The sequence below is a fragment of the Homo sapiens genome, chromosome 19 (genome assembly GCF_000001405.40).
Source record: "Homo sapiens chromosome 19, GRCh38.p14 Primary Assembly".
Lineage (NCBI taxonomy): Eukaryota > Metazoa > Chordata > Mammalia > Primates > Hominidae > Homo > Homo sapiens.
This window is the reverse complement of record NC_000019.10, coordinates 18,042,048-18,061,117: the sequence shown is the minus strand read 5'-3', so window position 1 is coordinate 18,061,117 and position 19,070 is coordinate 18,042,048. Positions and strand designations below refer to the sequence as shown.

General features: G+C 51.9%; 1 protein-coding gene and 1 pseudogene across 19 annotated transcripts in view, besides 2 other annotated features; one reads left to right on the top strand and one right to left on the bottom strand.

Annotated features, from left to right (window-relative positions):
- The window catches only part of IL12RB1 (interleukin 12 receptor subunit beta 1), a 39,933-nt gene extending 37,810 nt beyond the window's left edge, over positions 1-2,123 (top strand). For 6 of the 19 annotated variants that reach the window (XM_011527969.3, XM_011527967.3, XM_011527968.4 and 3 more), the window contains 2 exons: positions 1,033-1,211; positions 1,362-2,123. In XM_011527969.3, coding sequence (XP_011526271.1) covers positions 1,033-1,211; positions 1,362-1,476 — 294 coding nt within the window. In that variant the 3' untranslated portion in view covers positions 1,477-2,123. Of the gene's footprint in view, positions 1-1,032; positions 1,225-1,361 lie in introns of all 19 variants that reach the window. The other 13 variants (NM_001290024.2, XM_047438768.1, XM_011527971.4 and 10 more) reach the window with 3 other exon arrangements.
- Positions 9,050-9,551: an enhancer, noted in NCBI's record as "H3K4me1 hESC enhancer chr19:18162377-18162878 (GRCh37/hg19 assembly coordinates)". NCBI's record gives its function as "activates a minimal SCP1, AML or CMV promoter by ChIP-STARR-seq in primed H9 embryonic stem cells {active_cell/tissue: H9 hESC(primed)}" and the evidence as "EXISTENCE:reporter gene assay evidence [ECO:0000049][PMID:30033119]".
- Positions 11,589-11,750: a silencer, noted in NCBI's record as "fragment chr19:18160178-18160339 (GRCh37/hg19 assembly coordinates)". NCBI's record gives its function as "represses an EF-1alpha promoter that drives an FKBP-Casp9 reporter gene in an ReSE screen in K562 erythroleukemia cells {active_cell/tissue: K562}" and the evidence as "EXISTENCE:reporter gene assay evidence [ECO:0000049][PMID:32094911]".
- Positions 11,984-12,489, bottom strand: RPS18P13 (ribosomal protein S18 pseudogene 13; annotated as a pseudogene).

Below are 19,070 nucleotides of genomic sequence, written 5' to 3'. Positions count from 1 at the left end.
GGATGCCTTTTCTAATTCCAAGTCTTTTTATTGGGTGCACATGCTGGACAAGGGTTACGCATTAGCTCATTTTATTCTCTCCCAATTCATCAAGGTAAGGACTCCAAAACCAGTGCTCCATACCCCTTCCCATTTTAAAGACAGGCAGGCAGAGGTCCATTTCCTGGCACTAGAAACAGAATTCAAAGTGGCTTTATTATAAAGGAAACCTGATGGAAAAAATCCCAAGGGAATGGGCTTCAGATATGCCTGAATCCAGCGATTGGGGTCTATCTCGGAGCTGCCCGTTCAGGGTTCTTCCGCAGGCAGGCTGAGCCTTCTCTGATTGGAAGCAGGGTGTCCATTTTCCCCATTAACTGGGGCAAAAGTCTCAGGGCCATCACTGATTGGTCCAGCTTGGGTCACATGCCCTTCCCTGAGCCTATGGCTAGAACCAGAGGGGTAGGGAAGGGTCTGATGGGTGGGCTGGCCAGGGTCACATGACCATTGCTAGAGCTGAGGTGGGGTCACTGCACTGTCAACCACACCATCTGTGAAAAGAGGGAGGGAAATTTCCCAAAGACAGATGGGAGTGCTCTTCCTAAGAGGGGCTGAATGGGAGTCAGTGCGGCAGACTCCATCCTCAAATCGGTCTCAGGATATATGGAGTCTCGCTCTGTCACCCAGCCTGGAGTGCAGTGGCGCCATCTCGGCTCACTGCAACCTCTGATTCCCGGGTTCAAACGATTCTCCTGCTTCAGCCTCCCAAGTAGCTGGGATTACAGGCGTGCGCAACCAAGCTCAGCTAATTTTTGTATTTTTAGTAGAGATGGGGTTTGGCCATGTTCTCCAGGCTGGTCTCAAACTGCTGACCTCAAGTGATCCACCCGCCTCAGCCTCCCAAAGTGCTGGGATGACAGGTGTGAGCCACTGCACCCGTCCAGGTCTCAGGATGTTAGAGAATTTAACCAGCAGTGACCTGGTCCGTTCCATCCTGCTGTGGATGGGAAGTAGAGCTCTGCTCACAGCTGTGGCCCTACCCTCCCTCTGCAGACTTGGCAGTGGATCAACCCAGTGGACTTCCAGGAAGAGGCATCCCTGCAGGAGGCCCTGGTGGTAGAGATGTCCTGGGACAAAGGCGAGAGGACTGAGCCTCTCGAGAAGACAGAGCTACCTGAGGGTGCCCCTGAGCTGGCCCTGGATACAGAGTTGTCCTTGGAGGATGGAGACAGGTGCAAGGCCAAGGTCCTGGGGCCCAGTGGGCCAGACGGTCAGGGGTGCAACCCTGCCCGGGGGGTGGGGGGGCTAGACATCCATCGCTCCTGGGATATCAGGGCCTGGAGGCCTGAGGGAGAAACGAAAACATCCACTTTGTCTTACAGACACGAAGAGCGACTATCTCAATCACAACGGCTGGTTATTAAGCACTTATGGCATACCCAGCCCATTCCATCCACTCACATGATTCCCTACCAAATCCCTACAACCACCCCCTGAAAGGAACCATGACTGTTGTACTTTACAGATGTGATCGTTGAGGCTCAGAGAGGGTGAGTGACTCGCCCGAGGCTACGTAGCACACACAGGAGTCACATTTGGACCCAAATAACCCAGAGCTCCTCCAGGCTCCAGTGCACCTGCCTCCTCTCTGCCCCGTGCCTGTTGCCACCCATCCTGCGGGGGAACCCTAGATGCTGCCATGAAATGGAAGCTGCTGCACCCTGCTGGGCCTGGCATCCGTGGGGCAGGAGCAGACCCTGCCATTTACCTGTTCTGGCGTAGAATGGACTGGGAATGGGGGCAAGGGGGGCTCAGATGGATCCCTGGACCCTGGGCTGGGCATCCACCCCCAGGAGCACTGGATGGGGAGTCTGGACTCAAGGGCTCCCTGCAGCATTGCGGGGTCTTGTAGCTTGGAGGATCCAGGCATATAGGGAAGGGGGCTGTAAACTTTGTGGGAAAAATGACGGTCCTCCCATCCCACCCCCCACCCCACCCTCACCCCCCTATAAAATGGGGGTGGTGATAATGACCTTACACAGCTGTTCAAAATCATCGTAAATGAGCCTCCTCTTGGGTATTTTTTTCCTGTTTGAAGCTTGAATGTCCTGCTCAAAATCTCAAAACACGAGCCTTGGAATTCATTCATTCATTCATTCATTCATTCCACATATATTTATTAATCTCTTCCTCTAGGTCTCCTCCAGGAGCACCTAATCCGGGGGAGACAGAGCCGGATGAGAGCTTGGAACCCTACTAAGTTAGGACTGAGCAGGGGAAGGGACGGCCTAGGGGGAGTGGAGCAGCCGGGCACTCCGGTAACAGGAACCGTGGTTTGCCCCCACGCTCCTTCCTCCTCACGCCCACCAACTCGCAGCAGGACCCTTGCCCCCCTTACACACCCTGAATCCTCCCTCTTTCTGCCCACACTGCCCCACCTCCCTCGCGTTCTGCAGCCGCCTCCCCCTGATCCCCACTGCGGTCTGAGCCGAGGTGTGGGGGGGGGCTCCTGAAATCCCACCCCAGCCCTGGCGATTAGCGGGTAGTCCAGATTCTCCCCATGGCCACCAGGTGGCAACAGCGGCGCGCGTTTCCCCGGCCGGGCCCGCCCTGCCTCCTCCCACCGCGTTTGCTAAACAGACTTTTCCGGTTTCAGACAGAGGAGGGGAGTTAAAAAGCCCAGAACTACTGAATTTTGTGGCAAAAAAAGGATGAGACCTCTCGGGGAGAGACCCCTGGCAGCCAATAGGGCCAGGAGGCAAGAGGCCCAGGCCCCGCCCCTTTGGTCTGGGGGCCTCCCTTTCCCCATCGATGCATCTAGATAGGGAAACAGAGGCCTGGATCTCGGTGCCCCAGCCACACGGTGGCTGGTCAGAGTTCTGCAAATGCCCCCCGCCCCGCTCCGGATCTGCCACATCCCAGCTTCTGCTCAAGCCGTTCCCTCCACCAGGCATGCCCTCCCTTGAGCGTTTATCCTCCTTTCTTTTTTCTGAGACGGAGTTTGGCTCTTGTTGCTGGAGTGCAATGGCGCGATCTTGGCTCACGGCAACCTCCCGGGTTCAAGCGATTCTCCTGCCTCAGCCTCCCAAGTAGCTGGGATTACAGGCGCCCGCCACCCTGACCAGCTAAAATGTGTTTGTATTTTTAGTAGAAACAGGGTTTCACCATGTTGGCCAGGCTCGTCTTGAACTCCAGACCTCAAGTGATCCACCCGCCTCGGCCTCCCAAACTGCTGGGATTGCAGGTGTGAGCCCTGGAGGCCCCTGGAGTTGGCTGCAAACCCACCCCTATGCACAGTCCCTTGGGTGCGAGAAGTAGGAGACAGGCAATGTTTACTGGCAGCAGCTGGGACTTTTGCCAGAGTGCATGGGGAAGATGCACACCCTGCTTCCACTAGCGGGAGACTGAGCTGGACAGAGGGAAGCCTGGAGCTTGGAGCCTCTTTCCTTCCTACCGTGGGGATGCCTGTCTGAGAGAGGAGCCTGCAGGGAGGACAGCAGCACCGAGATGAAGCATTAGTTCCTGGATCCAGCCATACCTGAAACCCAATATTTTCCATCTGGTTCCTGTTTTTAAAAAATATTTTAGGCCGGGCATGGTGGCTCACGCCTGTAATCCCAGCACTTTGGGAGGCAGAGGCGGGCTGATCACCTGAGGTCAGGAGTTTGAGACAAGCCCGGCCAACATGGTGAAACCCCGTCTCTACTAAAAATACAAAAATTAGCTGGGCGTGGTGGCAAGCGCCTATAATCCCAGCTACTTGGTAGGCTGAGGCGGGAGAATCGCTTGAACCTGGAAGGGGGTGGTTGCAGTGAGCCGAGATTGTGCCACTACACTCCAGCCTGGGCGACAGAGCGAGACTCCGTCTCAAAAAATAAATAAATAAATAAATAAATAAATAAATATTTTTTTTTATTTTTTGTTTCTTTTTTGAGACAGGGTCTCACTCTGTTGCCCAGGCTGGAGTGCAGTAGCACCATCTTGGCTCACTGCAACCTCCACTTCCTAGGATCGAGTGATCCTCCAGCCTCAGCCTCAGGCTCAAGCCTTGTTGCCAAGGTTTTGCCATGTTGCCCAGGCTGGTCTCGAACTGCTGAGCTCAAATGATCCACCTGACTTGGCCTCCCAAAGTGCTGGGATTACAGGCATGAGCCACTGCACCCGGCCTCAGTTCCCTGTTTGATGAAGCCACTTTGAGTCCTTCTTCTGTCCCTAGAAAATGACCAACAGGAGGTTCTTTCTGGGCCTCTGCTTACCCGTCTATAAAATAGGAAGGGATTTGGAGTCCTTTTCTCAATGGGCCCAGCAAGTTTGCTTAGCTGGGCCCTGGCCTGGTATTTATTGAGCAACTGCTATGCAACTATTACTCCAGGGCTCCTCAGAGCAGCCATTGCCTCAGCTTCTCCCAGCAGCTCCAGGAGTCAGGATGGTGTTAGCCCCCATTTCACAGCTCAGTTTCATTCATTCATTTAAGAAATCAGGGTCCGGCGCGGTGGCTCACACCTGTAATCCCAGCACTTTGGGAGGCCAAGGCGGGCCGATCGCTTGAGCTCAGGAGTTCGAGGCCAGCCTGGCCAACATGGTGAAACCCCGTCTCTACTAAAAATACAAAAATTAGCCAGGTTTGGTGGCACATGCCTGTAGTCTCAGCTACTTGGGAGGCTGAGGGCTGAGGTGGGAGAATCACCTGAACCTGGGGAGGTCAAGGTTGCAGTGAGCTGAGATCGCGCCACTGCACTCCAGCCTGGGTGACAAGGTGAGACCCTGTCTCAAAAAAAAAAAAAAAAAAAGCCAGCATTGAGTGCCTACTGTATACCAGGCCCCATCTTGCACAAGTCAGGATCTTCCTGGTCATAAGGGGCTCTTAGCTGGGTGGGGAAGGCAGACACTAATCTAATTATCACTCAGAGAGTTATGAGAAACCGTAAGAGTGATGAGTGGGGATGTGAGGAGTAGCCAGTGAGGGAGGGCTTCCTGGAGGAGGCAATGCTAGGACCAAGGTGGTAAAGAGGGGCCAGAAGAGGGAGTGCAAAGGCCCTGAGGTTGCTGGTGGGGAATGGACGGGGGATGGGGGAAGAGGTTGTAGCCCACGTGAGGCTGGGGGCATATGGACCAGAGCTGTTTTTTTTCTTTTGAGATGGGGTCTCGTTCTGTCGCCCAGGCTGGAGTGCAGTGGCGTGACCACAGCGCACTGCAGCCTCGACCTCTCGGGCTCAACTGTTCCTCCTTCCTCAGCCTCCTGTGCAGCTAGAACCACAGGCACGTGCCACCACGCTCAGCTTAGTTTATTTGATTATTTGTAGAGACAGAGTCTCACCATATTGCCTGGGCTGATCTCAAACTCCTAGGCTCAAGTGATCCTCCTGTCTTGGCCTCTCAATGTGCTGGGATTACAGGCGTGAGCCACTGTACCCGTGGGCTAGGTTTTTTTTTTTTTTGAGATGGAGTCTCGCTCTGTTGCCCAGGCTGGAGTGCAGTGGCGCGATCTAGGCTCACTGCAAGCTCTGCCTTCCGGGTTCACGCCATTCTCCTGCCTCAGCCTCCCGAGTAGCTAGGACTACAGGCGCCCGCCACCATGCCCGGCTAATCTTTTTCTGTTTTTAGTAGAGACGGTGTTTCACCATGTTGGCCAGGATGGTCTCGATCTCCTGACCTCGTGATCCGCCTGCCCCGTCCTCCCAAAGTGCTGGGATTATAGGCGTGAGCCACCGCGCCTGGCGGGCTAGGGTTTTATTCTTGGGTTGTGGGGTCCTGGAGCTGGAGAGTCAGGTCCTGACGGGTGAGAGGTTCAGAGTTTATTCTGGCTGCAGTTCAGCTGGGAGTAAGTGATTCATCTTGTGGGCCTCAGTTTTCTGGTCCATAAAATGGATGTGGTCAGGCAGCCTCTCCAGAGCCCCTGCCCCTCTTCCCACCTCCCCTCCTCTGTCTCTGTCTTTCCTGATCCATCTTTTCCCTTCTCCATGGCTCCCACCTACTGGGTGGGAAGCGTGTCTCCATCAGAGAGATAGGCTGCCTCAGTTTACCTTCCCAGGTACCTTCCTTCTCTATCTCTCCAGTAGCCTCTGGGTTTGGTCAGAAACAGATGTTGTCTCTGCCTCTGCCCTTCAGCCGGGATGGGACTGAGGTGTCAGGTTTCTGGGAACCATGAGCTGCAGGAGATGACCCCTGGACTCAGGGTAGCCCCTGGCCTGGCCCCTGATACTTTATTATCTGTGCCCCAGATGCCAGGCCCTCTGCCCAGGAAGGCCCTTCTTCCAACTCTGCCCTCTGCCCATTTCTCTCTCTCTCTTTTTTAACTCATTTCTTTCATTTAAAAAAAAAATTTAAAGTAGAAACAGAGTCTTGCTATGTTGTCCAGACCAATCTTGAACTCCTGGGCTCAAGCAATCCTCCTGTCTCAGCCTCCCAAACTGTTGAGATTATAGGCACGAGCCACTGAGCCCCAGCCTTATTCCTCTTTTTTTTTTTTTTTTTAGATGGAATCTCACTCTGTCGCCCAGGAGGCTGGAGTGCAGTGGCGTGATCTCGGCTCACTGCAACCCCACCTCCTGGGTTCAAGCAATTCTTCTGCCTCAGCCTCTGGAGTAGCTGGGACTGCAGGCACCTACCACCAAGCATGCATGGCTAATTTTTGTATTTTTGCTAGGGACGGAGTTTCACCATGTTGGCCAGGCTGGTCTCAAACTCCTGACCTCAGGCGATCTGCCCACCTTGGCCTCCCAAAGTGATGGGATTACAGGCGTGAGTCACTGCGCCCGGCCATTCCTCCTTTTTTAAGATACATTCACACACCATACAATTCACCCTCTTAAAGTGTACAGTTGACACTGAGCGTGGTGGCTCATGCCTGCAATCCCAGCATTTTGAGAAGCCGAGGCAGGAGGATCACTTGAGCCCAAGAGGTTGAGGCTGCAGTGAACCGTAATTGCACCACTGCACTCCAGCCTGAGTGACAGAGTGAGACCCTGTCTCAAAAAAAAAAAAAAAAAAAAGTACAATTCAGTGGTTTTTGTACAATCACAAGGTTGTGCAGCCATCACTCATACCTAATTCTAGAACATTTTCATCTCCCCAAAAAGAAAACCTGTGCCATCAGTAGCCACTCCCCGTTCCCCTCCCCCAGCCCCTGGCAGCCACTAATCTGCTTCCTGTCTCTATGGATTTGCCTGTTCTGGGCATTTCATATCAATGAAATCATACAATATGTGGCCTTTCTGTCTGTTCTTTTGTGAAAGAAACTCAGATGTTTTTGAAACGCATCCTCATTATAGTGTGTGTCAGGGTTTCGTTCTTTTTGATGGCTGAATAGCATTCCATTGTGTGGATGTGTCACTATTTATTTATCCACTCAGCCATCAATGGACATTTCGGTGGTTTCCATTTTCTGGCTATTGTGGATAGCGCAGCTCTGAGAGTTTGTGTACAAGTTTTGGCGTAAACACCTGTTTTCAGTTTTCTCCGTATACATCTAGGAGTGGAATCACAGAGTCATATGGTAATTCTGTGTTTAACTTCTGGAAGATCTGCCAAAGTTTTCCACGTCAGCTGTACCATTTCACATTCCCTCCAGCAAGGCATGGGGGTTCAAATTTCTCCACATCCTCATCAACACTTGCTATTTTCCTTTTTCTTTTCTTTTTTTTTTTTTTTTTTTTGAGACAGGATCTCACTCTGTCACCCAGGCTGCAGTGCAGTGGCGTGATCTCGGATCACTGCAACCTCTGCCTCCCGGGTTCAAGCGATCATCCTCGTGCTTCAGCTTCCCAAGTAGCTGGGATTACAGGCTCTTGCCACCATGCCCGGCTAATTTTTGTATGTTTACTAGAGACAGAGTTTCACCATGTTGGCCAGGCTGTTCTGGAACTCCTGAGCTCAAGTAACCCTCCCACCTCAGCCTCCCAAAGTGTTGAGATTACAGACGTGAGCCACTGCGCCTGGCCTCCTTTTTCTTCTTATCCTTCTCCTTCTCCTCCTCCTCCTTCTTCTTCTTTTTGATGTTCTGATGCCAAGGCTGGAGTACAGTGGCGTTATCTTGGCTCACCACAATCTCTGTCTCCCAGATTCAAGCGATTCTCCTGCCTCAGCCTCCCAAGTAGCTGGGATTACAGGCGTTAGCCACCATGCCCGGATAATTTTTGTATTTTTAGTAGAAACAATGTTTCACCATGTTGGCCAGGCTGGTCTTGAACTCCTGACCTTGAGTGATCTGCCCGCTTCAGCCTTCCAAAGTGCTGGGATTACAGGCGTGAGCCACCATGTCTGACTGGATTATTTATCTTTTTGACCCTTATCAGATACAAAATTTGCACATATATTCTCCCATTCTGTGGGTTGTCATTTTTTTTTTTTTTTTTGAGATAGAGTCTCCCTCTTTTGCCCAGGCTGGAGTGCAGCAACGCAATCATAGCTCACTGCAGCCTCGAACTCCTGGGTTCAAGCGATCCTCCCACCTCAGCCTCCCCAGTAGCTGGGACTATACAAGCACACACCACCACACCTGGCTAATTTTTAAATATTTTTTGTATAGACAAGGTCTCATCTCACTATGTTGTCCAGACTGATCCTGAACTCCTGGACTCAAGCGATCCTCCTGCCTCAACCTCCCAAAGTGCTGGGATTACAGGTGTGAGCCACTGTGCCAGGCCTCTCTTAATAGTGGCCTTGCAGAAGAAAAGTCTTGCATTGTGTGGAGTCGGGTTGATCTATTTTCCTTTGCTGGCTTGTGCTTTGGGTGTGCTACCTGAGAATCCTCCTGATCTTGATAAACCCCTCTTGCGGGCACCTCTCCCCATCCTCCCCGCCCCCAGCCCCCACCTCTGGCCTGTCCCTCCCCCCTCCTCCCCTCCCCACCTCCCGCCCCGGTTTGGGGCACTGGCCTCTGGCTCTGTCCCCGATCCATCAATGTTTAATAACTGAGTGGACAGAACCTTGGCGGAGACGTGGAAACCCCGCCCGGCCCCATGCGCGACGCGCCTCCACGGGCTGTGCCGCGATCACGCAGAGCCCCGCTTTCCAGGTGGGGAAACTGAGGCACCGGAAGATTGGGATGGGGACGCGACCTGCCTGGTCCCAGTGGTCGGGGCCACGGCCAGGCTTCCTCCCCGAGTCCTCCCCACCTTCCCTGGCCTGGAGCTGCTCCTGGCTCCCGTCCCCGCCCTGGGCTGACCCTGCCAGCGGGAACCGCCTGCTCCCCGGGGCGGTTCCTGCCGAAACCAAAATACCCAGGAGGAGGAAAAAAAAAACACCCGCCGGGCGGGCTGGGGGTGGGGGACGGGAAGAGGGGCGGGTTTCTCCTCCGGGTTGGAGACTGGAGGGGCCAAGGGTCACACAGTCAGTCGACAAACGTCTCAAGGATCCAGCCGAGTCCTGGCTCTGCTTCCAACTGCCTGTGCAGCCAGGGCTTCTCCGAGCCTCAGTTTCCCCATCGGTGCAATGGGGTAGTTAACCCCCCGGGGAGGCCTATGAGAGGTGAGAAGGAGCTAGGTGAACGAGGTGCCCAACCCTCCAAGATATCATCACCTTTAATAATATTAAACCTTATGTGCTGGGATCAGGAGCTCCAGGCAGGGGGCTCCTCTGGCCGGGTAGGAGGGCCCTCTTCTCCCAGTGGCTGGTCTTGTACCCCTAACCTCTTTTTTTTTTCTTCTTAACCAACTAAACAGGAGTGATCTTTATTTTATTTTATTATTATTCTGAGACGGAGTTTTGCTCTCCTTTCCCAGGCTGGTGCGATCTCGGCTCACTGCAATCTTCACCTCCCAGGTTCAAGCGATTCTCCTGCCTCAGCCTTCCGAGTGGCTGGGATTACAAGTGCCCGCCACCATGCCTGGCTAATTTTCATTTTGTTTTATTTTGAGACACTGTCTCTGTCTGTCACCCAGAGGCTGGAGTGCAGTGGTGTGATCATAGCTCACTGCAGCCTCCTGGGCTCAAACAATCCTCCCACCTCAGCCTTCCAAGTAGCTGAGACCGCAGGTGTGTGCCACCAAGCCCAGCTAATTTTTGTATTTTTTGTAGAAAGAGCACTCACTCTGCTGCTCAGGCTGGTCTCAGATTCCTGGCCTCAAGCAGTCCTCCCATCTCAGCCTCCCAAAGTGCTGGGATTACAAGCATGAGCCACTGTGTCCTGGCCCCACCCCCAGCTTCCTATTTCCTTCCTCCCTCCCTGTCTCTCCCTATCTCTCATTTCTCATCTCTTCCTGTCTCTCTGTCTCTATTTCTCTGACTTGCTTTTATTTTTTTTTTTAATTTTTTTTTTTTTAATTTTTTGAGACAGAGTCTCACTCTATTGCCCAGGCTGGAGTGCAATGGCGTGATCTTGGCTCACTGCAACCTCCACCTCCCAGGTTCAAGAGATTCTCCTGCCTCAACCTCCCAAGTAGCTGAGATCACAGGCGTGCGCCACCCTACTATGCTAATTTTTGTATTTTTAGTAGAGACGGGGTTTCACCATGTTGGTCAGGCTGATCTTGAACTCTCTGGCCTCAGGTAATCCGCCCTCCTCGGCCTCCCAAAGTGCTTGGATTACAGGAGTGAGCCATCGCACCTGGCTTGTCTTGCCCCTCTTTGTCTCTTTCTCCCTGTGCCCCTCTCTCTCTATCTTTGTGTTTTGTCTCTCTGTCTCTCTCCTTGTCTCTTTCTTTGCCATCTTTTTTTTTCTTTTTCTTTTTGTAGAGATAAGGGTCTCATTATGTTGCCCAGGCTGGTCTCTAATTCCTGGCCTCCAGCAATCCTCCCCCCTCAGCCTCCCAAAATATTTGTGTCATCTTTCTCTTTATCTCATTTCTCATCTCTCTCCCTGTCTCTCTCTCTGTCTCTTTGTCTCATCTCTCTGTCTCACTTCTGTCTCTCTGTCTCTGTCTCCCTGTGTCTCCCTTTCTCTCTTTCCCTGTTTCTCTGTGTCTGTCTCTCTGTGTGTTTCTGTCTCATCTCTCTCTGTCTCTGTTTCACCTGTCTCTGTGTCTCCCTGTGTATCTCTCTGTGTCTCTGTCTCTCACTGCCTCTGTCTCTCCTTGTTTCTCTGTTTATTTGTCTCTTTTTTTACTTTTGGAGACAGAGTCTCGCTCTGTGGCCCAGGCTGGAGGGCAGGGGCACAATCTCTGCTCACTGCAACCTCTGTTTCCCAGTTCAAGTGATTCTCCTCCCTCAGCTTCCTGAGTAGCTGGGATTACAGGCCCCCCACCATGATGCCTGGCTAATTTTTGTATTTTTGTAGACACGGGGTTTCACCATGTTGGTCAGGCTGGTCTCGAACTCCTGACCTCAAGTGATCCACCCGCCTCGGCCTCCCAAAGTGCTGGGATTACAGGCGTGAGCCACTGTGCCCGGCCCCACTTCCATTTTTAGGTGGGGAAATAGGGGCTTATTCCTGAAGAGTCTCGTGCAGGTGTCCCAGCCCCAGTGGCATCATGGTCACCCTGGTCCAGCTGCTGGGCTCTGTGGCTCTCCGGCTGTCCTGGGCCTCCCATTCTAGGGGCCTGTCCCATAAATGGTCAGCCCAGAAGGTTCCACCCTCACATACTGGATGGTGACACCCCCACCTCCCAGAGCTAGTTTTCCAGCAGGCAGTCTGGCGGGAAGCCCAGGCCACTTCCCCGTGGTGTTGGCTGCTGCCCGGTGCAAGCCGGGAATGGGGACCGGAGGTGACGTTTAGGGCTAGGCTTTGGGCTCAGGTTTTTTTTCCTCTTCCTTTTTTTTTTTTTGGTATATAAACTATTTGTTTTTTTGCGACAGTCTTGCTCTTTCGCCCAGGCTGGAGTGCAGTGGCATGATCTCAGCTCACTGCAACGTCTGCCTTCCGGGTTCAAGAGATTCTCCTGCCTCAGCCTCCAGAGTAGCTGGGTCTACAGGCGTGTGCCACCACACCTGGCTAATTATTTGTATTTTTAGTAGAGACAGGGTTTCACCGTGTTAGCAGGATGGTCTCAATCTCCTGACCTCATGATCCGCCCACCTCGGCCTCCCAAAGTGCTGGGATTACAGGCGTGAGCCACCGCGCCCGGCCATAAACTATTTATTAACAGATAAGGCCTACAGACTTATTTCTTCTTGGATACACCCACGGTACAGGTACGGCCATGGCGGCCAATGGTCTCGGTGTGCTGGCCTCAGACATGAAGGCCCCAGAAGTGGTGCATCCCTCTATGGGCCGGAATCTTCTTCGGTTGCTCCAGGTCTTCACGGAGCTTGTTGTCCAGACCACTGGCTAGGACCTGGCTATATTTTCCATCCTTTACATCCTTCTGTCTGTTCAAGAGCCAGTCTGGGATCTTGTACTGCTGTGGATTCTGCACAATGGTGATCACTCATTCCATCTCATCCTCCGTGAGTCTCCCGCCCTCTTGGTGAGGTCAATGTCTGTTTTCCTCAACACCACATAAGCGTATCTTCCATCCACACCTTTAATGGCAGTGATAGCAAAGGCTATTTTCCACCACCCATCGATGTTGGTGTTGAGTACTCCCAAAATATGCTGGAACTTTTCAAGGATCACTAGAGACACGGTGGCAGGCTCTGGGGTTCCATACCAGGCACCAGGATCATATTTGGGGTATGGAAGCCCCACATTGCCCTCATCCTCTCTGGCTTTCGTCATGGGGGTGGTGGGCATGAGGAGGAAGGGACCCAGGCCTTTGGCATGAGGTTCCCTTCTTCAGCAAGCCCCCCACTTCCTGGATCGCTGGGGACCCCCAGCCCTGGGTACCTCCCTCCAGCCTAGCCTTGACCCTGTGGGAACAAGAATATCTCTATCCAGCCTGGACCTTCCCAAGCTGGGGCCTCGAGCATTACCCCAAATAAGGCAGGCACCTGGATGTGGCCAGGAATGAATGAACATGAATGAACAAATGAATCGTATATAATCTTACAAACTCAGAAACGTAAGGCCATACAAATCTAAATCTGGCCAAGGTTGGTGGCTCAAGGCTGTAATCCCAGCAGTTTGGGAGGCCGAGGCTGTAGGATTGTTTGAGCCCAGGAGTTCGAGACTAGCCTGGGCAATGTAGTAAGATCCTGTCTCTCCAAAAAATTGAAAAAATGTAGCTGGGCATGGTGGCAGGTGCCTGTAGTCCCAGCTACTCAGGGAGGCTGAGGTGGGAGGATCGCTTGAGTCCAGGAGTTTGAGGCTGCAATGAGCTATGATCATGCCAATGTACTCCAGCCTGGGTGATAGAGCGAGACCCTGTTTCTAGAAAATAAATAAGTTTTGTTTGTTCATTTGTTTGTGATGAAGTCTTGCTCTGTTGCCCAGGCTGGAGTGCAGTGGCAGGATCTCGGCTCACAGTAACCTCTTCCTCCTGGGTTCAAGCGATTTCTCCTGCCTCAGCCTCTGTAGTAACTGAGATTACAGGCGTGCGCCACCACACCTGGCTAATTTTTGTATTTTTAGTAGAGACGAGGTTTCGCCATGTTGTCCAGACTGGTCTTGAACTCCTGACCTCAAATGATCTGCCCACCTCGGCCTCCCAAAGTGCTGGGATTACAGGCGTAAGCCACCGTGCCTGGATGATAAGTAAATATTTTTTTACATTAAAAAAATGCCTAAACCTGGATTTTTAGCACGTTGCAGGGGGCTCCCACCCAAGCCCAAGTTCTCAGAAGCTGGGAAAGGAATAATGCATCTCGGGGTGGAATGTTTGATGACCCCCAGCAGAGTGCCATCTCAAGAGCAGGGGTCTAGAGCCAAGGCTCAGGGTTCTAATCCTGCCTCTGCCTGGAAAACCACTTCGCCTATATGAGCCTCAGTTTCCCCATCTGTAAAACAGTGTTGGTACCCATGTCTTGGGGTTTGGGGTTAGTAAATGAATCTGTGGGAAGCCGAGTCAGGCCTATCGGTGTCTGTAGGTGGTGGAGCCTCTTCCCTCTGACAGGGATGGAAATTATAGAGATAAAATCAAAGAGAGGCCGGGTGCGGTGGCTCACGCCTGTAATCCCAGCACTTTGGGAGGCCAAGACAGGCAGATCACTTGAGGTCAGGGGTTCAAGATCACCCTGGCCAACATGGCGAAACCCCGTCTCTACTAAAGATACAAAAATTAGCCCAGTGTGGTGGTGTGTATCTGTAATCCCAGCTACTTTGGAGGCTGAAGCAGTAGAATTGCTTGAACATGGGAGGTAGAGGTTGCAGTGAGCAGGGATCGTGCCACTGCACCCCAGCCTGGGTGACAGAGTGAGACTCTGTCTCAAAACAAACAAACAAACAAACAAAGAGAGAGATGGAAGGTCAGGTTGCATCAGGAGGAAGCTGGCAATCTCTGTGACTCAGGGAGGTGCGGGGGCTCCCTCCTGGACCCTGGTCACCTCTGAACGTTCCACTGGTTTCTTCCAGTTTCTCCTTTACTGAGATCCCTCTGTCCCCAGAGTCTCAGTTTCCTCCCTTGTGAGATGGGCTCACACTGGTGCCCCTGAATCTTCTTCCTCCACCCATCCACCATCAAAATTGCTCCCACATCCGATCCCTTCTCATGAAGGTCCCTTCTCCCTGGTCCAGACTATCATTGCTCCTTAGGACCAGCAGTGGCACCCCTCTGTGGTCTCCTCGCTTCTCCCTTTATCCCCCACAGATACCCCCACCCTGGTATCCTGAGTCCGGCTTGTCCTTCTTCTGTCTAGAAGCCTCTGTGGCTCCCACCTTCCTCAGAGTAAAAGCCAAAGTTCTCCCCCCAGACCTCAAGGCCCTGCTTGGTCTCACGGCACCATCGCCTCTTCCCTCCCCACCCTGCTTAATCGACTTAGGCCACCTCAGCCTCCTCCAAGCTCCTCCGGTGAGTCAGACAGGCTCCTGCCTCGGGGCCTGTCTAAAGGCTGTGCTTTCCCGGGGACCATCTTCCCAGAGACGCCCATATGTCTCCCCTACCTCCTTTGGGTCTCAGTTCAATTGTCATCGTCACCCACACTCTCTCTCCCTCCTCTGCCATCAGGAATTTGTATCTCTGCCAGGCGCGGTGACTCATGCCTATAATCCCAGCACTTTGGGAGGCTGAGGTGAGCGAATCACTTGAGGTCAGGAGTTCAAGACCAGCCTGGCCAACATGGTGAAATCTCATCTCTGCTGAAAAATACAAAAATTAACTGTGTGGTGGTGGGAGCCTGTAGTCCCAGCTACCAATCCCAGCTACTTGGGAGGCTGAGGCGGGAGAATCACCTGAGCCTGGGAGGTGGAGGTTGCAGTGAGCTGAGATTGTGCCACACTGCACTCCAGCTTGGGCAACAGAATGAGACTCCGTCTAAAAAAAAAAAAAGAAAGAAAAAAAAAAGAATTTGTATCTCATTCATGGTGGTGTCGCTGGCTCCTGTACACAGCCGGGGCTTAATGAGTGTGCTCACAGATAATAATCTTATGCTGATAAAAAGAAATGTTTCCCCAGATGCCTGCTGTGCTTTAGGCCCTGGGCTGTGGTCTGGGGACACAGCCGGGGACAACTGAGAGCAATCTTGCCCTTGTAGGACTCATGGTCTGGGGACAAAGGTGGGACCCAGAGGACATTATGCACCTGAAGCGATGCATCTGTAATGTGGAATCAGGTGTTGAAAAGTGTGATGAATAAAGTAGAATACATGACCAGATGCAGCAGAGGGAGGGTGTTTCCTGATCAGGCAGTCCTGGAGGGCTTCCTGGAATAGGCGACATTTGGGGCCAAGGCCTGAATGAAGAGAGGGACATGCCCCTTTGCAGCAGCTCTGGTGGCCATGTGTTTCTCACTAGTTCACAGATAAGGAAACTGAGGCTCAGAGAGGTGAAGTCACTTGTCCAGCATCCCCAAATCCAAACTCCCCAGCCAGGAGCCTGCAATCCCCTTTCCCCATGGTGCCCAGTTGCAGATGGGCAAACCAAAGTCCAGAGCAGCGCCTCCACACCCCAAGGTCTCCCAGGAAGCTACTCGGCCCTCCTCCACCCTCCTTCTCCTCCCCCGCGCAGCTTTACTGGGGGACTTTCTCACAGGGAGGAAAAACAGCGACAGCTGGTTTCACAAGTAGGTGGCCCAAGCCGCAGACCGGTTTCGGTTTGCAAACAACTTCTGGCTCTGACTGCCTGCTGCTGGGCTGAGCAAACCCAGAGGTAAGAGCCCCGTATCAATCCATAAGAGGAAATGGGCACCAATCTGTCAGCTCAGGGTCTGGCTCATGGGCAGCAGGGCCAGGAGATGGGGGTGCACTGAACCCTCATCTCCACTTAGTCTTTTTTTTTTTTTTTTTTGAGAAGAGTCTTGCTCTGTCGCTCAGGCTGGAGTACAGTGGCGCGATCTCAGCTCACTGCAACCTCTGCCTCCCAGGTTCAAACTCACTGCAGCCTCAGCCTCCAAAGTAGCTAGGACTACAGGCACACGCCACCACGCTTGGCTAATTTTTGTATTTTTAGTAGAGACAGGGTTTCACCATGTTGCCCAGGCTGGTCTCAAATTCCTTACCTCAAGTGATCTGCCTGCCTCAGCCTCCCAAAGTGCCAGGATTACAGACATGAACCACTGCGCCCAGCCTCCACTTATTTTTTATTTTATTTTATTTTTTTTGAAACAATCTCACTCCATCACCCAGGCCGGAGTGCAGTGGCGTGATCTCGGCTCACTGCAACCTCCGCCTCCCAGGGTTCAAGCAATTCTCCTGCCTCAGCCTCCTGAGTAGCTGGGATTACAGGCATGCGCCACTACGCCCAGCTAATTTTTGTATTTTTGGTAGAGATGGGGTTTTGCCATGTTGGCCAGGCTGGTCTCGAACCCCTGACCTCAGCTGAACCGCTCTCCTCGGCCTCCAAAAGTGCTGGGATTATAGGCATCAGCCACAGCACCTGGCCCTTCACTTAGTCTTAATCACTCATCCAATCAACAATCAATGCTTATTTTATGCTTTGCTGTATTCCTGCATTTTATTATTCTCCCAGTACACTGGTACTAAGTGTTTAGTGTGTACCAGGTATTAGCTCATTTAAACATCTCAAACCACTGGAAAGAATCAACCCAGGCAATTATCTTGATTTCAGACTTCTCTCCAAAACTGGGAGAGAATAAATTTCTGTTGTCTGGAGCCCCCCAGGTTGTGCAAATTTGTTACATTAGCCCCAGGAAACTTACACAGCCCCCTCTCCAACCCCAAGTAAAAACTCACCTGTCCTCCTGCAGGTCCTCCAGGTCTGAGAGGGTAGTGCTTACCTCCGGCACTCTGGCCAGGAGCAGGAAGGTATTTCTCTTTGCGGATTTCTGGAGCATGTGGGTTGTGGACTCAGAGACACTTGGAAACTCCAGAGGTTTTTCCCAAGTGTCAGCAGCATGCACCCTCCCACAGCCATTTGTGAGTTTCTCATGAATACATCTTGGGGAATCACTTGGTATTGGTGGATTTTGTAGCTTTTGCCAATCAAATGGCATCTACCTGGTGTTTTAATTTGCATCTTCCTGATCCTCAGTAAATGTTGATCATCTCTTTGCCACTTGTGCTTCCTCCTTCGTGAATTCCTACTCTGTGTTCTTTGTGGTGTTCATTATAGGAATTCTTTATATATGTTTGACAGTATTCCTCCATCCATTGAGTATATTGCACATATCTTCCCCTAATTTGTAACTTGTCTTTTTGTTTTGTTTTGAGACTGAGTCTCACTCTGTCACCCAGGCTGGAGTGCAGTGGCATGATCTCAGCTTACTGCAATCTCCGCTTCCCGGGTTCAAGTGATTCTCTTTCCTCAGCCACCTGAGTAGTTGGGATTACAGGTGCCTGCCATCATGCCTGGCTAATTTTTGTATTTTTAGTAGAGATGGGGTTTCACCATGTCGGCCAGGCTGGTCCCGAACTCCTGACCTCAGGTGATTCACCCACCTCAGCCTCCCAAAGCGCTGGGATTATAGACGTGAGCCACCGTGCCTGGATGGCATTATAGGAATTATTTATGTAGGTTTGATAGTATTCCTCCATCTGTTGAGTATATTGCAAATACCTTCCCCTAATTTGTAACTAGTCTTTTTGTTTTGTTTTGAGGTGAAAACTCCCTCTGTGGTCCGGCTGGAGTGCAGTGGCGTGGTCTTGGCTCACTGCAACCTCCGCCTCCCAGATTCAAGAGATTCTCCTGCTTCAGCCTCCCGAGTAGCTGGGATTACAGGTGCCCGCCACCATGCCCAGCTAAATTTTGTATTTTTAGTAGAGATAGGGTTTCACCATGTTGGCCAGGCTGGTCTTGAACTACTGAACTCAAGAGATCTGCCTGCCTCGGCCTCCTAAAGTACTGGGATTAGAGGTGTAAGCCACTGCACCTGGCCTTTTTCTTTTTTTTTTTTTTTTTTTTTTTGGAGACAGGGTCTCACTCTGTGGCCCAGGCTGGAGTGTAGTGGCATGATCATAGCTCACTGCGGCCTCAAACTCCTGTGCTCAAGCAATTCTCCTGCCTCAGCCTCCTGAGTAGCTGAGACTACAGGTACACACTTCCATGTCCAGCTAATTTTTTAATTTGTAGAGATGGGGTCTCCCTATGTTGCCCAGGCTGGTCTAGAACTCCTGGGCTCAAGCATTCCTCCAGCCTCAGCCTCCCAAAGCTCTGAGATTACAAATGTGGACCACTGTGGCTGGCTGGTAACTTGTCTTTTCACTTCCTTCAATGTGCCTTTTGATGAATACAAAGTCCTACCCTTAATATATGCAAATTAACCAATCTTTTCTTTATATAGACAATGCCCATTGGCTCTTATGTGGAAAGTCTTTTCTTACCCCAAGTTCGCCAATATTTTCTTTTCTCTCTCTCTCTCTTTTTTTTTTTCTATGAGACAGGGTCTCACTTTGTTGCCCAGCCTGGAGTAGAGTGGTGTGACCATGGGTGACTGCAGCCTCAACCTTCCAAGCTCAAGCAGTCCTCTCACCTTACCCTCTCTAGTAGCTGGGACTACAGGATGCACCACCACACTCAGCTAATTTTTAAATTTTATTTTGTAGAGATGGAGTCTCCCTATGTTGCCCAGGCTGGTCTCAAACTCCTAGGCTCAATTGATCCTCCCCTCTTGGCCTCTCAAAATGTTGGGATTGCAGGCATGAGCCGCCAAGCCTTGCCCTCAAGTTCACCTATATTTACCACCAAGACATTAAAGCTTTCTTTTGGGCCAGGCACAGTGGCTCAT